Genomic DNA, 13,415 nt, shown 5'->3' with positions numbered 1-13,415 from the left:
CAGGAATTACTAACACATTTTAATTATACTTTCAACAGGATCTGTTAAAGCTGTGGAAGCATGAGTGTAAACGTGTTATAGCTGACCGTTTCACAGTGTCCAGTGATGTGACCTGGTTTGATAAGGCTTTAGTAAGTTTGGTAGAGGAGGAGTTTGGTGAAGAGAAAAAACTCTTGGTGGATTGTGGAATTGACACATATTTTGTGGATTTCTTGAGAGATGCACCTGAAGCTGCAGGTAAACTATTGAAGTGGAATTTGGAATTCCCCAAAAGGTGTTCCCTAAAGGGAAATCTGAAGACAGAAGATTCAGTTTATGGATGTTGAGTTTCTTTCTAGTAAACTTTATTGATACAAGCCTGAGACACAGTAGATGCTCAATAAAACTAGGATGAGTGAATTAATGCATTATCATGGAGTTTAAAGACGAACTAGTTTATGCATATCACGCTTGGATATTAAAGTAGAGTTGGGGGGCAGGATTCGGTAGGAGAGAGTGCACAGGACTTGCAGTCTGGCAGACAGAGGTGAGTTTGAGGAAGGAATCCACCACACATTAGTTAGCTGGGCATCTCGGCACTCTCTTGAACCTCATTCATAAAAATGAAAGTATTACTATGTGCATCACATGCACCGTGGGGAGTCCATGAAATGTTATCTGTAGAATGGCTTGGGCAGTCTATGGCCTGTAGTCACTGCTAAATGAAAGGCAGCAAATATAATGATACTTATTATTATTCAGGTCATCCTGAATGTTGAAAATAAAAAGGAAAACTTCCAATTGTATGAGAGGGTCATTAAATGTAATTGGAATGAGATGGCTGATGTGGGGCAAGCTTTTGTGATTATGGTTCCAGGGGAAATTGAGATATATGACTTTTCTTATGAAAAGAGGCAGTGCTCCACTTTTTTTCCCCTCAGAAGTAACTAGGCTTAGTTAAAAATATTTTTCTTTCATTTAACCTCTTCTAATACTGAGGATGGATTTTAAGTTAATTTGCAGATTTTTAAAAGCATGTTTAAAAACATGCTAAGTATATCTTGAAAATGATTGGAAATGACTAGGCAGTGCTTCTCTAGATTTGATAACTGTAAATGTGAACTATCAAAAGTTTCTGAGTGACAATTGCAAAATAATGTTTATTTCTGGAGATGCAATTGGAATGATCCTTCTGCAGAAAGAAGCTGACACATTTTATTTTAATCAGGTCAAACACATACAAAAATCCTGTAAGAGTAAGGGCATCTTACAAGGTAATTAAAATGTATGTAATTTATTCCCTGTAATTCAGAAGGATAAATAATCAGATTATGATTTTCAAGGACCAAAGCACAACTGCTGCATTTTGGGGGCCGGGGGAGGGTCTAGAGACAAATGCATAACCTTTTGTGTCATTGAAACACTATTTCTCAAAGCTTGATTTGGGCATTTATGAGAATTGTGACTACTGGAATTTGATTAGTGAGAGCTTTGCAGATAGGTCAATCTTCATGATTGTGTTAAACCAATCTCATTTGTTATAAAAAGATTAACATACTATTATGTTAGGACACAGTCAATTGAAAATAATTATGTACTATAAGGTTAGAAAGACCCACTCATTCTTCTCGTACCCAGTGAAATTCTAAGTCGTTATTGGTATATTCAACTAATGTGTCCCTTTTTTCCCTATTACTAATGTTAATTGATTGTGAATTTATAGGTGCCCAATTTAGCTTTTTCTTGGGCATTATCCTTTTTTTTTTTTTTGAAACAGAGTCTCGCTCTGTTTCCCAGGCTGGATGCAGGCTTGGCTTATGGCAACCTCGGCCTCCTGACGATTCTCCTGCCTCAGCCTCCCGAGTAGCTGGGACTACAGGCATACACCACCAGGCCTAGCTAATTTCTGTAATTTTAGTAGAGATGGGGTTTCACCATGTTGGTCAGGCTGGTCTTGAACTCCTGACCTCAAGTGATCTGCCCACCTTGGCCTCTGCTTTGTAGTTAACACTGGAAAAGTGTTAAGCTGGTATATTATATGTTTCTAATTTTTTAAAAAAGTATATTGATTTTAATACATCTTGCCCTAGTGAAATAATCGAATATGCTTATTCATTTTGGAAATTATTTTTCTATTTCTCTCAACCCTCCACCCCATATTCTAATTCACTTCTATTTTTACCACTGACCTGAGATTCATGAATTATAAAAATTTCCTGAGTAAATGCAATAACCTTTTTCTTTTTATTCTTATCAAACAGTTTTGTAATTCTTGACCTCCCTTGCTGATTCTGACATTCAGCACTTGACCATTAAGCTAATATATCTGGGAGGACCTTTGAAATGCCAATAATCAGTTGTGGGTTCAAATTCAATTCAATGACGATAATATTATTTGAAATTGACTCTTGCTGGATAGGAAACAACAAAGACTGCATATGATCACAAAAATCCTAACGCTTCTATTGTTGTCTTCTGTTTTTGCAAAATACACACTATGGCATTTAGCTTAAAATGAATGTTATTCAGTGTTAGGTTGTAGAGCTTTGAGTGTATTAATTTAGATTGAAGTAAAATGCAGGTATTTGCAGAAACTTAACTGATTCTTATTTCCCACCAAAGGTGAAACATCTGAAGAGGCTGATGCTGAAACACCTAAAATTTATGAGCCAATTGAATCTTTTAGTCACCTAAAAGAGCGTCTGAATATGTTCCTGCAGCTCTATAATGAGAGCATCCGTGGCGCCGGCATGGACATGGTGTTCTTTGCAGATGCCATGGTTCACTTAGTCAAGGTACAGTAGCCACTCTGAGTAGTGCCTTGTGGAGGTGACAGACATTTGGCTTCACACCATGGTCCTCTCCCTCTCTTATTTTCATTTCCTAGGAGAATCTTCAGTTTAAAATTAGACTCCATGCTATATTCCAATTTAATTTCTAAGCTGAATGCAACATGTCGCACCTTATAGACTTGAAATAAGAGCCTGTGTACTTTAAATGTGTGATGTGATAATTTTATTCAGTGTTTCTATATGGCTTCCAGCTCAGTGCTTTCACCACGGAGGATGAATATGGTTGACATCTGAGTTCAGAGCACAGGCAAAGTCTACATCTTTTTGTATCATGCAAAGAATATCCTATAAAAAAATAGTACATAAGCCTTGAGGACATTATGTTATGTGGAGTAAGCCAGACTCAGAAGGGTAAATACTGTATAATTCTACTCATATAAATCCCCAGTGTAGCCAAAATCAGAGACAAAAAGTAGAATGGAGAATTCCAGGGTTGGGTGGAGAGACGATTGGGGAGTTAGTGTTAAATGGGTACAGAGTTTTAGTTTTGCAAGATGAAAAGCATTGTGGAGATCAGTGGTGCTGATAGTTGCACAACAATGTAAATGTACTTAATGATATTGAACAATATACTTAGTGGTTACAGTGGTAAATTTTAGATTATGTGTATTTTACCATGATTAGAAACAATAATTTAAAAATAGTGTATAAACAGTTGACTTTGAGATGAAAATTCTGTTAGAATGAAATCCACCATGAAAGTATAATTTCTATTCTAGTTTGTCATATGAGAAGGGGTTCCCAGCCCCGGGGCCGCAGACCAGTATGTGTCTGTGGCCTGTTAGGAGCAGGGCTGCACAGCAGGAGGTGAGCAGCAGGTGAACATGCAAAGCCAAGTTCTGCCTCCAGTGGCATTAGATTTTCATAGGAGCCCGAACCCTGTTGTGAATGCTCATGTGAAGGATCTAGTTGCACGCTCCTTATGAGAATGGAATGCCTGATGATCTGTCACTGTCTCCCATCACCCTCAGATGGGACCATCTAGTTGTAGGAAGACAAGCTCAGGGCACCCACTGATTCTACATTATGGCGAGCTATATAATTATTTCATAGTATATTACAATGTAATAATAATAGAAATCAAGTGCACAATAAATGTAATGCGCTTGAATCATTCCAAAACCATCACTCAGCCCCGTCCCATCCGTGGAAAAATTGTCTTCCACAATACTGGTCCCTGGTGCCAAAAAGGTTAGGGACTGCTGATATGAGTCATTACCGTATCCATTTTTAGGACAGTTGATCCTCAAAGGTTGGAAGTAGAATATATTATTTTATTTGAAAACTTATGTGACTTAATTTATCTACAGTGCAAGAAAATGCCATGTAAAAATCCATTGTTGATATTCTCACTTAGTTGATATCAACTACTTTTCCGGACTACATCCTTTTAGTTAGAAAGAAAATGATTCGACACTGTCTTCCATGATTTAGGTTCCACCGTGAGGAACCACTGCACAATTACAAATTGTCACCTCTAAAAATTACTGAATCTACAAACGGAGGGGGTTTTAGAGGTTATCTAGTCAACCATTCCTCTGAAAATAGGGATTACCTGCTCCTTTTCCCTGCAAGAAAGAAAAGCATTTCTGCAAGGCTGGAGTAAGTCAGAGAGAGGGAGGAAGACAGAGAGGCTGCTCAGGAGTTGGGTCTCCCCAGCACGAGGGCACTTGGCTTGGCAACTCTGTGGATTCTCAGAATCTGAGGCATCTGTACCGAATTATGAGCTCAAATATTCTTCCAAAGCCAACTATAAATAACATTTTGAAATTCGCTCTTAATTTATAGTTGATTAAGAGTTGTTTCAGGAAGAATAAACATTCTGTCATTTTTAATAATTAAAAGGAAGAAAAAGGAAAGGAAAATATATTTTCCAAATGAGTATTACCAAAGGCAATTTCATGACAAATAGCCTGCCTGCTGGAGACAGAATCTGAATGACCTGGGATTTCATAGCTCAAGTTGAAGATGCAGTTATTTATGTTAAGTGTCGTGCTTGAGCAAGTTCACTAGAACTGCCGTTTTCTCCATGATTCGCAGCCCAGATGATGAGTGAGGAGGCTTTCTTGAAACACTTTGGGTGTGATGTTGGAGGTGTGAATGCCTCGGTGCTGGGGCCTCGCTGGTGTTTTCTCTCACTCTCTGCCTCTTGTCTGTCTGCTCTGGAATTGGCTGAAGAATCCGTGACTAGAGTTTTTGAGCTAAAATGTTGCATTCCTCTCCACTTCCCGGCTGGCCCTGTCTTCTCTCATTTTCTGTGCACAGCGCTTCCACGCTCTGTGTCATGCTGCTGTGAGCCTTGAAATACGTGGCCTAGTTACAAGGCACGATAGAAGCCAAGAGTAAGAACTGCAGACAAAAACTGCAGCAAAACAGGATATGATATGAGACCAAGCCTATTTCTTAGTTCCTTTCTTAGTTAGAAACTCAATTTTCTTTCAGTACAGTGTATCTGTGTGATACCTCTTTTGTCTCTTTGGTGAAAGTTCAAACCATGGTGTATATGGTTTTGCATGATCTAGTTCCTGCTTACCAGCCAGCCTCCCGAGTCATGCTCTGCCTGGTGTGTGATCCAGAACAACGGGCTGCTTATGGGTAAACAAATCATGATCCTGGAGCGCCTCCCCCATGTGTATTCCCCACCCATATACTACCTTGTGGAAAGTTTATCTGTGTGTTTGTCTCCCTATCAGAAGACTAGGCTCTAGGAGGGTGGGTTCCCGTCTTAGTGACCTCAGTCTTGACAGGATGGACCACTGCTGAGAACCACACAGAGAATCTGGATACATTGTCTGGAATTTAATCAAGTCCCCCAAATAAGCCCTAAACAATCCTTTGCTGCCTTATATCCTGATATTTCCATACCTCATACTGAAGTTCTCACCCCAGGGGGCACTTCAGGCCTTTTGCTAATTCTGAGATACTGTGTGTCTCACTCCTTCTTTAAAGGTAGCTCAGCTCATGCCTGGCATACCACCTTCTTTGTGTGATGTACTTCTAGTCATCCAAGTCTAAGTCCAGCTCTGCACCTAAGACATACCTCACCCAGGCGGGGATGTTTCCCCAGCATTCTTTTCTCTGGTTGCCATCACTCCTGTCTCTGTGCCAGTGCTCACCATGGCTCATGACCCCAGCCTCTGTCCCCTGTTCCAGCGTGAGCTCCTGAGGGGCAGGGTGGACATTATTCATTTTTGAGTACTTGCTGATGAAATTAAAAACGCATACCTCCACCTCACAATCTGTATATAACAGGACAAAATAGCCCTATTTGAGGGTCTCACTGGATTTAACTAGATTATGAGGTTTTGAGTCTGCTTTGCAAGCCTTCTCTGTTCATGTATCTGTTCCTTTGTCAGATATGTTTTGAGGGTTTACCATGTGTTTTAATGTAAGACCTTGGCCCAGTTCCAAGTAAAGGTTTTGGGATGAGGATTCCTTAATACCTAATTAACAACATCTTGATATATCCACCTACATCAAAGGAAATGATGATGGTTGAAAAGTGGCAACCAAGGAAAGACACAGAATGTTCTAGTGTGGCTTCCAGTAGCTTCTTACCCACCGTCTGTGCCTCTTGAAGCTGTGTCAGGGGAAGATCTGAAGAGGCATGTGTGACCACCTCCACCCACAATGACTTTGGCGAGAACCACATAGAGGGGACAAGCAGGAGGCTGGAAAAACAGGGCATATGCACCTACCAGTCCTGCAGGTTCTCAGGTCCACATAGAGATGGAAAATATGTTCTCCTTTTCCCCAGGTTCACACTAAACTGGGGAAAGTAATTCAAAACCAGGCATATTTTCAACAGGAATAGAATGCACTGCAGCTAGTGAGGGAATTCTGAGAAAGGATGTTTAACAAAAACTTGGCAGAATGCAGAGCCCCAGTGACTTCAGGAAGCTTCCCTGGCTGTGGAGAAGTGACCCCTTCCAGTCCCTGCCCAGCCTCTATCATTCTTCTAAGAAAGATGGACATCGCAGTGATACCCCTAGGCTCAAAATGCAGTTAGGAGGGAAAGAGAAACAGTTCTTGCATAAGGTATAAAGAACATCAAGGGGAATTTTATTCCCATCTCTCCTAGGTAGGTTTGGAAGACTGATGGTGTAACTAGTCCATTCAACACCAATAAAGCCAAATAAACATGGACTTCTGCCACAAGGGGGCTGTGGAATAGTCTTGGGCTATTGAACAGTGTGAAGTGGCCCCCCTGACCCATCTATAATCACTTATTGGTAGATACCTTAGGTATCACTGTCTTTGCCAAGTAATAGGAGGGTGTTTATGCTCATTTTCTTTCTTTTTAAAATTCCAACATCTATACCATATGTATTAGTTCGTTTTCATGCTGCTGATAAAGACATACCCAAGACTGGGAAGGAAAAGGTTTAATTGGACTTATAGTTCCACATGGCTGAAGAGGCCTCAGAATCACGGTGGGAGGCGAAAGGCACTTCTTACATGGCGGCGGCAAGACAAAAAATGAGGAAGATGCAAAAGCGAAAACCCCTGATAAAACCATCAGATCTCATGAGACTTAGTCACTACCACAGGAACACTGTGGGGAAGCCGCCACCTTGATTCAATTATCTCCCACCAGGTCCCCACCACAACATGTGGGAATTATGGGAGTACAATTCAAGATCAGATTTGAGTTGAGACACAGCCAAACCATATCACCTCATTTTGGGGGTTTTTCTTCCCTTCAATTTAAATTTGAACACTTTTCAAATGTGGAGGATATTCTCATCAACGACGATGCCCTGTATGCCAAGGGTAGACATTGTTCTGACATTTCTGTTCTCCTTCCTGTCATACACTATTAGGTCAGACCAACTAACAGGAATCCTCAAAGTCCCCTTTAGATAGATATCTCCTTTAAAAGCCAGAGCAAGCACGGTCTCGGCTGTGTGTTGACTTTTCTGCCCTGGTGTCCTCCTACTTCCTAAAGGCACACCCCACGGTTCCCACCCCGTCTGATGCAGCCCAACACTGTTCTATTTCAGAAATGCCCTCATTCCTTCAACCAGTGTGTCTCCAGTCTGATCTTGAGACACCTATATCTTCCAAAATAATAATTAGGCCTTATTCATATATTGAATAAATAGGAAAAATAGAACATTTACATGTTGAAAGATACATACTTTTTCTGTTCCATATTACAGATCTCTCGTGTCATTCGTACTCCTCAGGGAAATGCCCTCCTGGTCGGGGTGGGCGGATCAGGAAAGCAGAGCCTGACGAGGTTGGCTTCATTCATTGCTGGCTACGTTTCCTTCCAGATCACTCTGACGAGGTGACAACCTTTTACTTTAACAAACCTAACATGGATTTTGATAAAAGGTGCTCAGAGGCCACCTGAAGTTCAAATGCATTTCTCTTACATATAAAGAGTCACAGTCATTTTCCTTCTTGAATGTTGACTTATCATCTTCCCCTGTCAACCTTTGTCATAGATCATAAACATTTCACAGTCATAATTTGCTTTTGAAATATTTCAAACTCTCACTTAGTAGCCACCTCCCTACTTTTATGTTATATATGATAGTGTATTACATGCACTACTTTTGGTGAATTTCAGAAGACAATTGTCCCTGTTGAGTGTTAATTCAGATTTCAAGGATGTTAATACAATGGAAAAATAGATGAAGATTTTATATTGGTTTACTCATTCCAACATTTCAGAATAGTTATTGAACACTGCCTATGTGTCAAGCTGTGGCTAGGTGAGCAAGGTGAATCTAGCCGTATCATCAGGGATTTTGTAGCAACTCAAAGGGACAGACAACTAAGCAACCCAACTCACCCAGTAAGGTGTGATTCATAGGCACCACCTATGATAAGGAAATACATGCAGACCAAATCCTATTGAAGCTTGAGGGAGGAGCTCCTAACCTAGTCTAAGGGATGATTAGAAAAGACTTCCTGGAGAAAGTGATTAAACTGAAACCTCAATATGAGGAAGACTGAGAGCAGAAGAGCAGTTAAGTGTGTTCAAGGCAGAAGAATCAGCACAGGTAAAGTCAGTCCTGGAAGAAGTTAAATACTGCAGAGTGTACAGTGTAGGGTGACAAGTGGGAATGGAAGAGAAATGGAGGCCTTTAAAGTGATGATAAAAAGTCAGACTTCATCCCAGAGCAATAGGAAACCATTGATGAGTTGCTCCTAGGGAGGACATGTCAGGTACATTTTATGTACAGAAAATAGAAGGAACTAAAATAGAATAGTTATAAGGCTGTCTCAGGGGTCTGGGCAAGCCATGATGCTGTCATGAGTGGCAGCAGTGAGAATGGAGAATAGAGAGTGGAAATGGAAAAGATCATCAGGAAGTTGGAGCTTCAGGGCTTGGTGCATCCTGGTTTCTGGCTTGGGAAACTATCTAGATGGTGCTGCTTCTTATCAAGACAAGGAACCCCAGGGGAGTTGACCACAGATGTGGGTGTAGTGCAGGGAGAAAGCATAATTAGCACATGAAAAGTGAACATGAAGAAATAAACAGAGGTGATTTGGAGAGGTGAAACAGAATTTCAGGATTAACCAAGATAAGGTTAGAACCAGGAGACCAGTTTGGGAAGTTAGGTTGGGCTGAAAATCATTTGACGTTAATTTCTAGGTGTAGGAGCAAGAAGTCAGGCACTGATAAGCAGAACATGCTGCTGACCTGTCTCATTGAGGGAGGCCCATAGATACCTGCTAGGATGAAGGCTGAAAGTTACTAAGCATTGGGTTTGGAGATTCAAATATTTAAGCTGTTGTTACACTTTGTGTTTTGTCTGACCTATAGGGTTCTTCTTGGAGAATAAATCCAAAGATTACTGTTTTATTCAAGTACTGGGACAGAGAGAAATAATTCTAGTTACCTTGCATATGATTCTTCTAGTTTTTGGTTAGAAATCAAGCTACATAAAAGGCAACCTGCACAGGAAAGGGATTGGACTCAAATTTTTGTTCCTAACATTTGTATAAAACCTTGTAGTTTTCAAAGCACTTTTACATGCATGAGCTAATTTGATCTTCAAAAAAACCTCGTGAGTTAGTAGGACAGATAGCAGTAGCCCATCTTGCAGCTGAAGCTCAGAGAGGCTATGGCTTGCCCAACATCTCTGATCTATCTGGGAATTGATTGTAGGATTTCTGGTTTCTAGTCTTGTGTGACTTTTACTGCACCACAGTGCCACATCCAGTATACCCAACCACCACTCTCACTGTGGCAGACTAGTTCCTCTGCATGTCATACTGGGAATGATCCATTACTGATGAGACGAAGGGCCAGGGTCTTTCTTTCCTTTTCATAGCTTTCAAGATGTTATCAAACTTCTAAAGGCTTTGTATAGCCATGTGGCTAAGGCTGAGATGCAAGAGACTCTCATTTGGGAACCACAACTATTTGTTGGTGTCTTAGGCCATATTATTTGAGGCAATGGGCCCTTGAGATCCAAGAGATCGGGTTGAAAATTTCCCCCATATCACAAGAAGCTGGGTGAGATGTTTTCCTCTTTTCTTTCTTTCTTTTTCTTTCTCTCTCTCTTTCTTTCTTTCTTTCTTTCTTTCTTTCTTTCTTTCTTTCTTTCTTTCTTTCTTTCTTCTCTCTCTCTCTCACTTTCTCTCCCCTCCCTCCCTCCCTCCCTTCCTTCCTTCCTTCCTTCTTTCCTTCCTTCTCTCTTTCGTTCTTTCTAGAGGCTGCATCTTCTAATTGTTTTCTGATCTCTCGGATCTCACTTCTCTAGGTGTCTTCTAGAAGTATTTGTTTTCTGATCTCTCGGATCTCACTTCTTTAGGTGTCTTCTAGAAGTATTTGTTTTCTGATCTCTCAGATCTCACTTCTCTAGGTGTCTTTTAGAAGTATTTGTTTTCTGATCTCTTGGATCTCACTTCTTTAGGTGTCTTCTAGAAGTATTGATGCATAGTTGTGATATTTCCAATTCTAGGGTGTAGGTTACAGAAGTTAGAAAAAGGTAGAGTTAAATATTCACTAGTTTTTAAAAAATCAGATGGCTCTTTTCTCTTGCACCCTGAATTCTGAGTTTATTTCATGACTAAAGTACAAATAATAATTTAGTAAGTCTGAGTCTCCAGAATTGGGATAATTTTATTTATACTTTTGGCATAATGTAGCACTCCACAGTGGGAACTCTCTAATATTTCCTGATTGTAGGTTCACTTCCACCTAAAGATTGCTTTGGGTAATTAGAGAACCTTCAGACTGGGATATTTCACAACGTTTCCAGGTAGTCTAGTACAGTGTACTGATTGCTCAGAAAACAAGTTTATTTATGTATAATACAAACATGCAATGATGATAACGGTGTTGGGGGATGAGGCAGGCACTGTTTATAACAGGGCATCTCACTCACCCTGTATAACCAAAGTTTGCATTTATTTATTTTAGTTTAATTTATGAGTTGTCATCTCAAATACCAATTGCCAATCAAATATCAATAATTGAATTTGACTTTTATCATTGTCAAAAAATTTTGAGAAAGATACATTTTGAAATGTAATGACATTTGGTTGTGATAAAAATTCTATTTTTGTTCCAGGTTGACTTTTCAGTATAGTTTTTTATGTAGAAACATTAATTAATTATAATGTTTTATGAAATGTGGATTTTTAAAAATTAACCAGTAACATTCATATAGAATACATACGTATACGATAGAACAAAATCAGCATTTTTTTGTTAGCTAAATGGCATAATGCGTTGTTACAAGGTTCTTTCCCTCTCATGAAAATATTTTAGCTAATGACAAAATGAAAATATTTCTTTAGATCCTACAACACATCAAATCTGATGGAAGATCTGAAGGTTTTGTATCGAACAGCTGGTCAGCAAGGCAAAGGAATCACTTTTATTTTCACAGACAATGAGATTAAAGATGAGTCATTTTTGGAATATATGAACAATGTTTTATCATCAGGTGAGGTAGGAGCTCATTTATTCTTTATGTGTTTTATCCCTTCAGATTTCCTCCAGCTTAGAGCTCTACATGTTTTCTTCCATTAGTGGTGTGAATAAGTGCTATTGGGGATGGGTATTAAGTGATCAGTATGAAGGATGGGTTTTTCTATTGGGTTTTTGAAGAATAAAACTCTCCATCAAAATTTGGAGCTAAGCATTGAAAACATCAGTGAATGTTCCAATAACAAATGAAAAAAACAGAAGAGCGAAGTTAGAAAGAAAGCTAATTAGATTTTTGGCATGTCCATTTACTCCTTTCCGGGGCTACAACTTTGCAGTTAATAGTAGAATCATTTATTTATTTTAAAACGTAGTGTATTTCATCTTGAAAACTTTCAATTTTCTGTAGGTGAGTTCAAGAACACAAATGGAGAAAAGACATTCTGTGTATTAAGCTCTACATTTTGATCTATTTTCCTATGTGTGTACTGAATTTGCATGCCTGTACTTCTTTTTAAGGTCTCTAACCTATTTGCTCGAGATGAAATTGATGAAATTAATAGCGACCTGGCATCAGTCATGAAAAAAGAATTCCCCAGGTGCCTTCCTACCAATGAGAACCTGCACGACTACTTCATGAGTCGGGTCCGACAGAACCTTCATATTGTGCTCTGCTTCTCGCCAGTGGGGGAGAAATTTCGAAACAGAGCTTTGAAGTTCCCTGCCCTAATTTCAGGATGCACAATTGACTGGTTCAGCCGATGGCCCAAAGATGCTTTAGTTGCTGGTTAGTATGGAAATGTTTATGCCAGGGCATAACATGTGTTCAAGGATTCTAGTTCTTTCAGGGATGCTTGAAGGCTCTGCCTCAGCTGGATCTCCAGGCAGGCTCCAGGATGTCATGGGAAGGCACAGAGGTTTAATCTCATGGACAGCATTTGTGTTCTTTTTAAGTAGGTTTGTCAGCCCAAGAGTGGTTAAAGCCAAGTATCTCTTGGACATTTCCTTCTCAAGGCTGCAATGCTGAGAATCAAAGAGGAAAACATCATCCAGCAATTCTCTGCTGGTTTCTGTCCTTGACAAAAGATGTTAACCAGCATGGTCTCTGACTGGACCCTTTGCTGCTTCTGCTTCTTTCTGATCTTCCATGCCATGGACCATTAGTGCTTCCTTACTTTGCAAATGAAATTGGAACATAAAAGTAGTAGAGGAGAGGTTAGAGAGCGTACATTTAGCTTTTTTTTTTTTTTTTTGAAAGCTTTTGGTGAGAAATTGTCTGTTGATATTTTAAAAGAAACAGATACCCAGGTCTCATCCCTATTACATCAGAACATGAGGAGAACCCTGATTCAGGACAGTAGTTTTCAAATTTTTAAAAATGTTTTATGCAGAAGAGCCTTATTTTCCAGTAATACCTTACAAGTAGTCCTAGTAGATAAAACAGTGAAAAGTAGATGGGGGTTGCCGGAGGAAGCATTCTGGAGTCTCATCCTCTTACTCCCCACTTCTACTGCCCTCACCATTGCCTCTACAGCTCTGTGGTACCCCATCTGAGAATGACTGATTAACCCATCTCTTGCTCTTTAGAGAAGGAGAAACTGAGGAGCATGAAGTTGAGGGTTGCCATAGGTGGAAAAAGTTAGTGGGATCAGTACTGAGACTGAAACCTAGGTTGTCTGTCTGTCTGT

At 39.8% G+C, this 13,415-nt stretch overlaps 1 protein-coding gene across 14 annotated transcripts in view; it reads left to right on the top strand.

The window, feature by feature from the left end:
- The window catches only part of DNAH5 (dynein axonemal heavy chain 5), a 321,491-nt gene that overhangs the window by 222,866 nt on the left and 85,210 nt on the right, over positions 1-13,415 (top strand). For 11 of the 14 annotated variants that reach the window (XM_017009177.2, XM_005248262.4, XM_047416886.1 and 8 more), the window contains 5 exons: positions 39-237; positions 2,602-2,774; positions 7,994-8,124; positions 11,598-11,751; positions 12,247-12,514. In XM_017009177.2, coding sequence (XP_016864666.1) covers positions 39-237; positions 2,602-2,774; positions 7,994-8,124; positions 11,598-11,751; positions 12,247-12,514 — 925 coding nt within the window. Of the gene's footprint in view, positions 1-38; positions 238-2,601; positions 2,775-7,993; positions 8,125-11,597; positions 11,752-12,246; positions 12,515-13,415 lie in introns of those variants that run through there. The other 3 variants (XM_017009184.2, XR_001742034.2, XR_001742035.2) reach the window with 3 other exon arrangements.

The sequence above is a fragment of the Homo sapiens genome, chromosome 5, assembly GCF_000001405.40.
Source record: "Homo sapiens chromosome 5, GRCh38.p14 Primary Assembly".
NCBI lineage: Eukaryota > Metazoa > Chordata > Mammalia > Primates > Hominidae > Homo > Homo sapiens.
This window is presented reverse-complemented; position numbering and strand designations above follow the sequence as displayed.